Below are 11,569 nucleotides of genomic sequence, written 5' to 3' on the forward strand. Positions count from 1 at the left end.
AAAGCTGGCTTCCTGGGTCTTATCAACTAGACAGGCTGCAAAGCTCTGCCCCAGCACTGCAGGTCTTTTGGGGTGGGATTGTCCGCTTCCCCCAGATGCGAGTGGAATGCGACCAAGGAGACAGAGGATGTCCTTCCTGTTTCCAAGGGCTCCAGGCCCCCTTGGGCCTCCTTGTCAGTCCCACACCTCCGTCTTGCTGCTGGGTACCAAATGGCCTTTGATGCGAGGAAATTGGCTGGCTGGAGCCAGTAGGGTGAGAAGCCAGGCCAAAGGGTAGGGGTCACTCAGCTTCCTGCTCCGAGGACGGCGGGACGGTCAGCATGCGTCTTGGGCTAGGGTAATTCATTCCCCGCCAGCCGATGGTGGTGACCTCACCACTGGGGGCCTCTTGGGGCCAGGAGAAAATGAGTGTCCTTTTTGAACACAAAAGGTGCTGGAGGTGCCAGTTTCCTGTGAGGAGCTGAGGCGTCCCAGAGCTTCGGAGCCCCAGAGTCAGGCTGGGGGTGGGGGGAGCTTCATGTTCCAAAGGAGAGATGATTCTTTCTTCTAAACAGGAAATGGTGACCCGCAGGCCGGGAGCAGCCCTTAATGACTTGCAGCTTTCCTCCCAAAAGGAAAAAAAAAAACGTTCTCTAACAATCGCCAAATTGTGGCCTGCCTCCCTGAAGGGAAGTTAGGGAGTTGGGGGGATGGGGGTTGGGCATCCATGAGCTGAAGGCCTACTGTGTCCTGGGTCCCTGCGGGTCCCTCTAGGTCGTCTCCATCCACCCACAGTAGGTGCTGAATGAATGATTTCATGACTTCACATAATCCCTGGGGGTCGGGCCTCCGGAAAATGAGGCACAGAGGTGGGCTTGCCTGAGGTCACCAAGCCCGGCCCCTCAGGTCATCCTGGGAGTTCGGTAGGCTGGGCTCATGCCGCTGACTCTCAGGGCACCTGGAGCAAGGCTCTCTCCCTCTGGGGGCCCCAGTTTCTGTGTCTATAAAACAGGGTGACAGTAGTGCCTTCCTCTCGGAGACTGTACAGAGGCATTCATTCATTCAGGGGTTTCGAGGGTACCATATGTGCCAGGCCCTGGGGTTACACCCGTGAACAAGACAGGCCATCCCTGCGTTCATGGGACGTATGTTCTGGTCGGGGAGAGAGAAAGCAAACAAGTGATTAAATAAACAAGCCGCTTTTCTACAGTGATGGTGCCAGGACAGAATGAAAGGGTGCCAGGCACTAGAGAACAACGGGGTGGGGCTCCCCAGGCCAAGGCAGTGAGAGCCCTGGAAGAGCTGAATTCCAGCCCGGACCTGAAGGAGGAGAAAGATGCCGGCAGGGAAGGATCTGGGGGAGGGAATAGCAAGCCTGCTGGAATGTGCTGCCCCCATGAGAAAGACCAGGATGGCGGAGGGACTGGGAAGACAGGGTGGGAGAGGAGAGTGGGCCCAGCTCTGCAGAGCTTGTGGTGCTAAGCAGGTGGGAATTTTGTCTAAGCCCCTAGGGCAGCCACTGGGGCTGTAAAGCAGGAGAGTGCTGAGGCCTGCTGTTACCTTTCCTACAAAGATCTCCCTGGCTGCTTGGGAGAATGGATCTCAGGGGTCCAGGAGGAGAAAGACAAAGGCAGGGAGACCATGAGAAAGCCAGAGGGGGCCAGGCACCCTGGCTCATGCCTGTAATCCCAGCAATTTGGGAGGCTTAGACAGGCAGATCACCTGAGGCTAGGAGTTCGACACCAGCCTGGCTAACATGGCAAAACCCCGTCTCTACTAAAATAAAAAATTACCCGGGCATGGTGGGGCATATGCCTGTAGTCCCAGCTACTTGGGAAGCTGAGGCAGGAGAATCGCTTGAGGTCGGGAGCTGAGATCTCGCCACTGCACTCCAGCCTGGGTCACAGAACGAGACCTTGTCTCAAACAAACAAACAAACAAAAAAGGGCCAGAGGGGAGGGAGGGAAGGAAAGGAGGGAGGATGGTGGCCTGGCTCAGGGTGTTGGTGGCCTTGGAGATGAAGCCTGTATTTAAGAAACTTGTGGCAGTTGTGGCCACCCAGCCCATGGCCCAGCACACCTGAGCCCTAGTGGGTGACAGTTATTTAGTATTATTATCTGGGGAACTGGGCATGGTGGTTCACATCTGTGTAGTCCTAGCTATTTAGAGGCTGAAGTGTGAGGGTTGCTGGAGCCCAGGAGTCCAAGGCCAGCCTGGACAACACATCGAGACATTGTCTCTACAAAAAAATTTAAAAATTGGCCGGGCGAGGTGGCTCACGCCTGTAATCCCAGCACTTTGGGAGGCCAAGGTGGGGCAGATCACTTGAGGCCAGGAGTTCGAGACCAGCCTGGCCAACATGGTGAAACCCCGTCTCTACTAAAAATACAAAAATTAGCTGGGTGTGGTGTCATATGCCTGTAATCCCAGCTACTTGAGAGGCTGAGCACGAGAATCCCTTGAACTTGGGAGGCAGAGGTTGCAGTAAGCCGAGGTCGTGCCACTGCACTCCAGCCTGGGCTACAGAGTGACACTCTGTCTCAAAAAAAAAAAAAAAAAAAAAAAAAAAAAAGTCCGGGCTTGGTGGAGCACACCACCAAGGGGATGTTGGATCTAGTGGGGGTAGATACTATGAAGCTGAGAAAAGAATGGGGAAAGCCTCTATATTCTGATCCTGAGCAAACCCCAAAGCACTAAGTGAAAAAGAAATCACCGGCAGATGTGCTCCCTTCTGTGGGCAGAAGAGGGATGAAAATCATCAACACGTGATTCATTCTTGTTTGTATTTGCATACGGAGACTCTGGAGGTTAGGACAATATACTAACAAAAGTGGTTCCCTGGTGGGTTGCAGGAGGTGGGATTGGGGTGGACAAGGACTGGAGGGAGGGAAGAAGGGAGCCATTTTTTAAAGATTTTTAAGACGTTTTACTTTGAAATAATTGCAGCCTGACAGAAATTGCAAGAAACAGTAAACTGGAATCGTACATTCAGATTCTTCAATACGTTAACGTTTTATCATGGATACATCTTCCCTCTCTTCCTAGACATACACACACATTATTTAGTTCTGAACCATTTGAATTTTTTTTTTTTTTCAGATGGAGTCTCGCTGTGTCACCCAGGCTGGGATGCAATGGCGTGATCTCGGCTCACTGCGACATCTGCCTCCTGGGTTGAAGCGATTCTTGTGCCTCAGCCTCCCCAGTGGCTGGAATTACAGGCATGTGCCACCATGCTCGGCTAATTTTTGTATTTTTAGTAGAGACGGGGTTTCACCATATTGGCCAGGCTGGTCTCGAACTTATGGCCTCAAGTGATCTGCCCGCCTCAGCCTCCCAAAGTGCCGGGATTACAGGTGTGAGCCACGGCGCCCGGCCTGAACCATATGAGAGTAAGTTATAGACACAGTGCCCCTTTACTGCTAAATATTTAAGCTATGTGTCCTAAGGATAAGGACATTCTCCCATAGTTTCATGATCAAAATTAGGAAATTTAACATTGGTGCAATGCTACTCTGTAATCCATAGTCATAATCACATTTCTGCAAGTGCCCCAATGATGTCTTTCACAGCATTTTGGGGGGTGTAGCTGGTGGGGAATGACCAGGATGCAATGCAAGGATCACACACTGCATTCACTTGTCCTCACTCTTTTATTTATTTATTTAAAATTTTTTTTCTAACAGAGACAAGGTCTCACTCTGTTGCCCAGGCTGGTCTCGAACTCTTGTGGGTTCAAGCAATCTGCCCGCCTCAGCCTCCCAAAGTGCTGGGATTACAGACATGCCCAGCTACTTGTCCTGACTCTTTTTTTTTTTTTTTTTTTTTTTTTTTGAGACAGAGTTTCTCTCTTGTTGCCCAGGCTGGAGTGCAATGGCATGATCTCGGCTCACTGCACCCTCCACCTCCCGGGTTCAAGTGATTCTCCTGCCTCAGCCTCCTGAGTAGCTGGGATTACAGGCATGAGCCACCACGCCCGGCTAATTTTGTATTTTTAGTAGAGATGGGGTTTCTCCATGTTAGTCAGGCTGGTCTCGAACTCCCAACCTCAGGTGATCCACCCGCCTCGGCCTCCCAAAGTGCTGGGATTAACAGGCGTGAGCCACCGCTCACTTAATCTCTTTTTTCCCAAGGCAGCTCCTCAGCCTTTCTTTGTCTTTCACAACATTGACGTTTTTTGAAGAGTACAGGCCAGTTGTTTTGTTGAATGCCCTCCAGTTTTTTTCCTGATGTTTCCTCATAATTACATTTGGGATACGCACTTTGGGCAGAACCACAGAAGCAGCATGTGTCTTGTTTGGTGCAAGGTGTCATGAAGCACATGAGGTCGGCTCATCCCAGACTGACATCAACTTTGACTGCTTGGTTAAGGTGGGGCCCACTAGGTCCCTCCTTGCTGAAGTTCCTCTTTTTCCCTTTGCGCTCAATCTGTATCTTGTGAAGAGATACTTGAAGACCATGTGATGCCTCCGAGTATCTCCTCACAAGATACGGAAAGGACCATGTGATCCTATGATGCCTCAAACTTCCATCCACAAGTTTCATCCCTTTCAGGTTCTTTTTGCCTAAATCAATTACATTTTACGATGGTAGTTACCAAATGATGATTTCCTTTCTTTTTTTTTTTTTTTTTTTGAGACAGAGTCTTGCTCTGTCGCCCAGGCTGGAGTGCAGTGGCACGATCTTGGCTCACTGCAAGCTCTGCCTCCTGGGTTCACGCCATTCTCCTGCCTCAGCCTCCCGAGTAGCTGGGACCACAGGCACCCTCCACCACACCCAGCTAATTTTTTGTAGTTTTAGTAGAGACGGGGTTTCACCGTGTTAGCCAAGATGGTCTCGATCTCCTGACCTTGGGATCCGCCCGCCTCGGCCTCCCAAAGTGCTGGGATTACAGGCGTGTGCCACTGCGCCCGGCCCAAACGGTGATTTTCTAACCCCATCATTCCTTCTACTTTACTGGCTGGCTTTCTCCTGCAGGACTTCCCCTCTGTCGGGGCAGCGGCTTAGAGCTGTGGGTTGGGAGAAATGGGGCCAGGAGCAGCAGGATCTGGCCAGGCCATTAGATCCTCCCCGGGGATTTTCTTTAAAACGAGTCCAGGAAATAAACTGGCTATAAAGCCAGTCTCCATGCAAGTGTCAAGGCAGGCAGGTCTGGGGCCAAGGCCATCTCTGGGCACATCTGGGCTGCATTAGTGACCTGTTGGCTACTTATGGGTATCCTCTGAGCTGGGATGAGGGTCTCCTGGTAGACAGGGATCAGGACTGTCCTTGTTCTTCTTTGCTTTCAAACTGTTTATTTTTTTCGTTTTTCCTTTTTTTTTTTTTTTTTTTTGAGACAGAGTGTCACCCAGGCTGGAGTGCAGTGGCTCAATCTCGGCTCACTACAGGCTCAACCTCCTGGGCTCAAGAGATTCTCCCAGCTCAGCCTCCTGAGTAGCTGTGACTAAACACACACACCATCATACCTGCCTAATTTTTGTGTTTTTTGCAGAGATGTAGTTTCGTCATGCTGCCCAGGCTGGTCTTGAACTCCTGGACTCAACCTATCCTCCCACCTCAGCTTCCCAAAGTGCCGGGATTACAGTCATGAGCCGCTACACCTGCCCAAATTGTCAGTTTCATAAATATCACAGGAACGTATTCCCTCCTTTAAAAGAGTGAGAAGGTGACATGTGAAGCTCCAGTGGCATGTGATCAACACTCTCTATCCTTATGCCTTTACTGTCCCCAGCATGACGCCATGGAGATCTTGGTTTACATCTTTGTCAGTTAAAAAAATTAGCAACTGGCCGGGCGTGGTGGCTCACGCCTATAATCCCAGCACTTTGGGAGGCCGAGGTGGGTGGATCATGAGGTCAGGGGTTCGAGACCAGCCTGACCAACATGGTGAAACCTGATCTCTACTAAAAATACAAAAAAATTAGCTGGGCATGGTGGCGGGTGCCTGTAATCCCAGCTACTCAGGAGGCTGAGGCAGGAGAATAGCTTGAACCCAGGAGGCGGAGGTTGCAGTGAGCCGAGATTGTGCCACTGCGCTCCAGCCTGGGCAACAGAGCAAGACTCTGTCTCCAAAAAAAAAAAAAAAAAAGCAACTATATTTCTTTTCTTTCTCTCTCTCTGTCTCTTTTTTTTTTTTTTTTTTTTTTTTGACAGAGTCTCACTCTGTTGCCCAGGCTGGAGTGCAGTGGCATGATCTGATCTCAGCTCACTGCAACCTCTGCCTCCTGGGTTCAAGTGATTCTCCTGCCTCAGCCTCCAAGTAGCTGGGATTACAGGCGCCCACCACCATGCCCCACTAATTTTTGTATTTTTAGTAGAGACGGAGTTTCACCATGTTGGCAAGGCTGGTCTTGAACTCCTGACCTCAGGTGATCCACCTGCCTCAGCCTCACAAAGTGCTGGGATTATAGATGTGAGCCACTGCACCCAGCAAAAAAAAAATGAGCAAATATATTTCCATGCATACATGGCTCCGTCTCACTTACCTGGTTCCACAAGGGCCTCCACCACCTCTGCCTCATCCCTTTCCCCGCCCCCCTCACTCCTTCCAGCCACACCAGGCTCCCTGCCCCCTCAGGGCCTTTGCACTGCCACTCCTTCTGCCAGGAGCACTACCCTAGAGAGCCACATGGCCACTCACCTCCCATCCCTCTCCCTTTCATTCCAACCCCTTTCCCTGTTATTTTCTCCATCTGACAAAACACTCATTTCCCTGTTCAGAGTTTCTCTGTTGACTGTCTTCCCCCACCAGAATGTCAGCTCCATGCAGGTGGAATTTTTTTTTTTTTTTTTTTTGAGATGGAGTTTCGCTCTTATTGCCCAGGCTGGAGTGCAATGGCACGATCTCAGCTCACCACAACCTCCGCCTCCAGGGTTCAAGCAATGCTCCCGCCTCAGCCTCCCAAGTAGCTGAGATTACAGGTGCACACCACCACGCATGGCTAATTTTTGTATTTTTAGTAGAGACGGGGTTTCACCATGTTGGTTAGGCTGGTCTTGAACTCCTGACCTCATGATCCGCCCGCCTCGGCCTCCCAAAGTGCTGGGATTACAGGCATGAGCCACCATGCCCAGCCATGCAGGTGGAAATTTTGTCTTCTTCATTCACTGTGCAGTGATCCCTGGAGTCCCTTTCACATGTGGGAGGCACACGCTCCGGGAAACATTGCTGAAGGAATGATGAGTGAGTTGATATGTGCCTGTCAGAAACACCGTGTGGTCACCATTTTTTTTTTTTTTTTTTTTTGAGATGAAATCTCCCTCTGTTGCCTAGGCTGGAGTGCAGTAGTGTGATCTCAGCTCACTGCAACCTCCGTCTACCGGGTTCAAGCAATTCTCCTGCCTCAGCCTGCCGAGTAGCTGGGATTACAGGCGCCTGCCATCATGCCTTTTGTTGTTGTTGTCGTCTTTTTAGTAGAGATGGGGTTTCACCATGTTGGCCACGGTGACCTCGAACTCCTGACCTCAGGTAATCCACCTGCCTCAGCCTCCCAAAGTGCTGGGATTACAGGCGTGAGCCACTGCGCCCAGCATTTTTTTTTTTTTTTTTTTGAGGCAGAGTCTCACTGTCACCCAGGCTGGAGTGCAGTGGCTCGATCTCAGCTCAGTGCAACCTCTGCCTCCTGGGTCCAAATGATTCTCATGTCTCAGCCTCCCAAGTAGCTGGCATTACAGGTGTGTGTCACCAAGCCCAGCTAATTTTTTTTGTATTTTTAGTAGGACGGAGTTTCACCATGCTGGCCAGGCTGGTCTCGAGCTCCTGGCCTCAAGTGATCCGCCCACCTCAGCCTTCCAAAGTGCTGGGATTACAGGCATGAGCCACTGCGCCTGGCCCATTTTGAATTTTTGTTTTTGAGTTTGTTTGGTTAGACTTCCTTCTGCTGTGAAACCCACAGTTGGGTGATATATTAGTTTCCTAGGGCTGCCCCCACCAAATTCCCATGAACTTGGTGGGAAGAGCAGAAGTTTATTCCTTCATGGTCCCAGAGGCCAGAAGCAGGACATCAAGGCATCCACAGGGCTGTGTTTCCTCCACAGACTGTAGGGTAGACTCCTTCCTTGTCTCTTCTCTGTGTCTTTGTTTCTCTTTTTTTTTTTTTCAAGATGGAGTCTCACTCTCTCGCCCAGGCTGCTCACTGCAACCTCTGCCTCCTACTTCAAGCGATTCTCCTGCCTCAGCCTACAGAGCAGCTGGGATTACAGGCATGTGCCACCACACCCGGCTAATTTTTGTATTTTTAGTAGAGAGAGGGTTTCACCATGTTGGCCAGGCCGGTCTTGAACTCCTGACCTCAGGTGATCTGTCCGCCTCGGCCTCCCAAAGTGCTGGGATTACAGGCGTGAGCCACTGCGACTGGTTAGCCGTCTCTGTTTCTCTTAAGACACCAGTCATTGGATGTAGGGGCCACCCTAATCCAGGATTATCTAATCTTTACTTGATTGCATCCACAAAGATGCTATTTCCAGATAAGGTCACATTCCCAAGTCCTGGGAATTGACTTGAACATATCTCTGGGTTCTACAATTCAACCCCAGGTGTACTGGTGGCTACAACCAAAGGCTTGGCAAGGCTTTCTCAGGGTCTGGAATGAATCCAGGTGCACTTATCTGTTTATTTATTTGGAGGTCGGTGGGGGGGGGGGGTTCTCACGCTGTCACCCAGGTGGAAGTGCAGTGGTGCAATCACAGCTCACTGTAGCCTTAAGCAGATCCAGGAAGTTTTTATTATTCACTCACCAAACCCTGCAGGAGGGTCAGGAAGGTGGCCTGGAGGAGGGGACCCTTAGGAGGAGACTTGGGAGGTGAGTAGGATTTTGCCTCTGTGGCTCCAGGAAGAGAGAGAGAGCCCTAGGTCAAAGCTCCACCAAGCCCTGACTGCAGAGGTTACTGCATGAGCAGGTACCCCAGGGTTGGGTGACAGCCACAGAGGGAGAGGTCGGCTTGCATCAGGGCCAGGCCATGCGGGCCTCGGAGTGGGGAACTACAGATTTATCCTGAGGGCAATGGGGAGCCATGGGAGGGGCTGGCAGGGAGGGGACTGAGTGGGTTTACTCTTTGGAAAGATCCCTGGGGCCACTGTGATGGGAGCAGGTCTGGCAGCAGGAAGAGCAGTTGAGGAGGTGGCCACGGCCCCGTGATGGTGGCAGATGAGGCAGGGGTGCTGTTTGGCGACACATGAATGAGCAGACTGAGGGAGGAGACAAGGATGATGCCGGGACAGGATTTTTCGCCAAGTGAGGGAAATAAGGACCCAGGGAGGCAAAGAGCAAACACTCAGGCAAATAATAATGACGATGATGGTAACAGAAACACTTCATTCCAGTTCACTACCTGTTTTGCACGGATTATTTAATTTAATCATCACAACAGCCTGAGGCAATGTGGGTATAAGAGAAGGTCCTATAGAGTTTAGGGGCTCTAGAGTCAAACTTCCTGGGTTCAGTCTCTGCTCCATTGCCTACCTCCTGTGTGACCTAGAGCAAGTTGTTCAACCTCTCTGAGTGTCCATTTTCTTATCTGACAAGCAGCCTCTCCTTCCTGGGGTTGTTGTACAGATTCAGTGAGTAAATCCTTGTAAATTGGCCGGCACGGTGGCTCACGCCTGTAATCCCGGCATTTTGGGAGGCCGAGGTGGGCGGATTACCTGAGGTAGGGAGTTCAAGACCAACCTGACCAAAATGAAGGAACCCCATCTCTACTAAAAATACAAAATTAGCTGGGCGTGGTGGCACATGCCTGTAATCTCAGCTGTTCAGGAGGCTGAGGCAGGAGAATCGCTTGAACCCAGGAGGCGGTGGTTGCGGTGAGCTGAGATCGTGCCATTGCACTCTAGCCTGGGCAACAAGAGAGAAACTCTGTCTCAAAAAAAAAAAAAAAAGAAAAAAAGAAAAAAAAAACTTGTAAATTGCTTGCCCTCGGGCCTGGAAGAGTAAGCTTTAGTAAACAGTGGCTGTAACTATGCCCATTTTACGGATATGAAGAAAGGGAGAGTAGCGAAGCTTTCCAAGTTCATCTAGAGGATAATCCTACGGTTTCAGGCACTCTGCGTCTCTTACCAAAGTCTGGGGACCTGAGCTGGCCTGCAGATCCCAGGGTCTGGCATCCTGTTTCATCCCCTGGAATCCTGAGTGCCAGGGCTGGGCAGCCCAGACCTGGAGGAGCCGGGACACTTGCCGTGCACACTTCCTCTCTGGGTACAACCTGGAAGGTCCTCAGGCTAGGGGACGCAGGGCACCAAACTCAATTCTATTTAGCTGGAGCTATGGCCTGAAATAAAAGCTTAAATGGGGCTGAAAAGGTAGCAGCAAGGAGAAATGAAACCCATGTGTCACTCATGGGGGCCCTCGGGACGGGGATCCCTCAGAGAAACTCATCTTTACCCCAGGGAAAGACCCAGCGCTGGGCACGGGGCTTTCCCAAGGCTGTCAATCTTCTGCTTGCAGTTACAAATGCCACCAATGTCTCACTTTGTGACCCAGGATGAGTCCTTGCCTTCTCCAGCTTCACTTTGCAGGTCACCAAAATGTGCTTAACTTTTGACCCAATAATAAAATAAAAAGCACTTTAACACACACATTTTACCCAGCACGTTTCAGTAGAGCAAACACCATCAACAATCTACATGCCCAGCACAAGTGGATTGTATATGTTACCTGGAGTCCTGGTGTGTTCTGAAAACTTTGCAATTATAGATGATTATACAATCCCTAAAATATACATGGTATGTATATTTTTCTCTATTTTTTTTTTTTTTTTTTTTTTGGAGACAGGGTCTTGCGCTGTCATGCAGGACGGAGTGCAATGGTGAGATCTCGGCTCACCGCAACCTTGACCTCTCGGGCTCAAGTGACCTTCCCATCTCAGCCTCCTTAGTAGCTGCGACTACAGGTGCATGCCACCACGCCTCACTAATTTTTGCATTATTATTATTATTTTTTTTTTGTAGAGACGGGGTCTTGCCACATTGCCCAGGCTGGTCTCAAACTCCTGAGCTCAAGTGATCCTCCCACCTCAGCCTCCCAAAGTGCTGGGATTACAGGCATAAGCCACCATGCCCGGCCCATTATATGTATCTCATATGAACAGAGAAAGAATAAGCCTGGCACATGATTAGCAGCCCAAAATGCTTTTTTTTCTTCTTCTCGAGATGGAGTCTCTCTCTGTCACCCAGGCTGGAGTGCAATGGCGCAATCTTGGCTCACTGCAATCTCCACCTCCCAGGTTCAAGCAATTCTCCTGCCTCAGCTTCCCGAGTAGCTGGGATTACAAGCATGCACCACCACATCCAGCTAATTTTTAGGTTTTGTTTTTTTGTTTGTTTGTTTTTTGAGCTGGAATCTTGCTCTGTTGCCCAGGCTAGAGTGCAATGGTACAGTCTGACCTCACCACAACCTTCACCTCCGGGGTTCAAGCGATTCTCCTGCCTCAGCCTCCCCAGTAGCTGGGACTACAGGCACACGCCACCACGCCTGGGTAATTTTTGTATTTTTAGTAGAGATGGGGTTTCACTATGTTGGCCAGGCTGGCCTCGAACTCCTGACCTCGTGATCCACCTGCCTTGGTTTCCCAAAGTGCTGGGATTGCAGGCATG

General features: G+C 50.5%; 3 annotated features.

Annotated features, from left to right (window-relative positions):
* Window positions 469-1,221: an enhancer, noted in NCBI's record as "H3K27ac-H3K4me1 hESC enhancer chr20:48606199-48606951 (GRCh37/hg19 assembly coordinates)". NCBI's record gives its function as "activates a minimal SCP1, AML or CMV promoter by ChIP-STARR-seq in naive H9 embryonic stem cells {active_cell/tissue: H9 hESC(naive)}" and the evidence as "EXISTENCE:reporter gene assay evidence [ECO:0000049][PMID:30033119]".
* Window positions 10,073-10,192: an enhancer, noted in NCBI's record as "active region_18079". NCBI's record gives its function as "activates an Ori minimal core promoter by ATAC-STARR-seq in GM12878 lymphoblastoid cells {active_cell/tissue: GM12878}" and the evidence as "EXISTENCE:reporter gene assay evidence [ECO:0000049][PMID:35858748]".
* Window positions 10,243-10,622: an enhancer, noted in NCBI's record as "active region_18080". NCBI's record gives its function as "activates an Ori minimal core promoter by ATAC-STARR-seq in GM12878 lymphoblastoid cells {active_cell/tissue: GM12878}" and the evidence as "EXISTENCE:reporter gene assay evidence [ECO:0000049][PMID:35858748]".

The sequence above is a fragment of the Homo sapiens genome, chromosome 20 (assembly GCF_000001405.40).
Source record: "Homo sapiens chromosome 20, GRCh38.p14 Primary Assembly".
Lineage (NCBI taxonomy): Eukaryota > Metazoa > Chordata > Mammalia > Primates > Hominidae > Homo > Homo sapiens.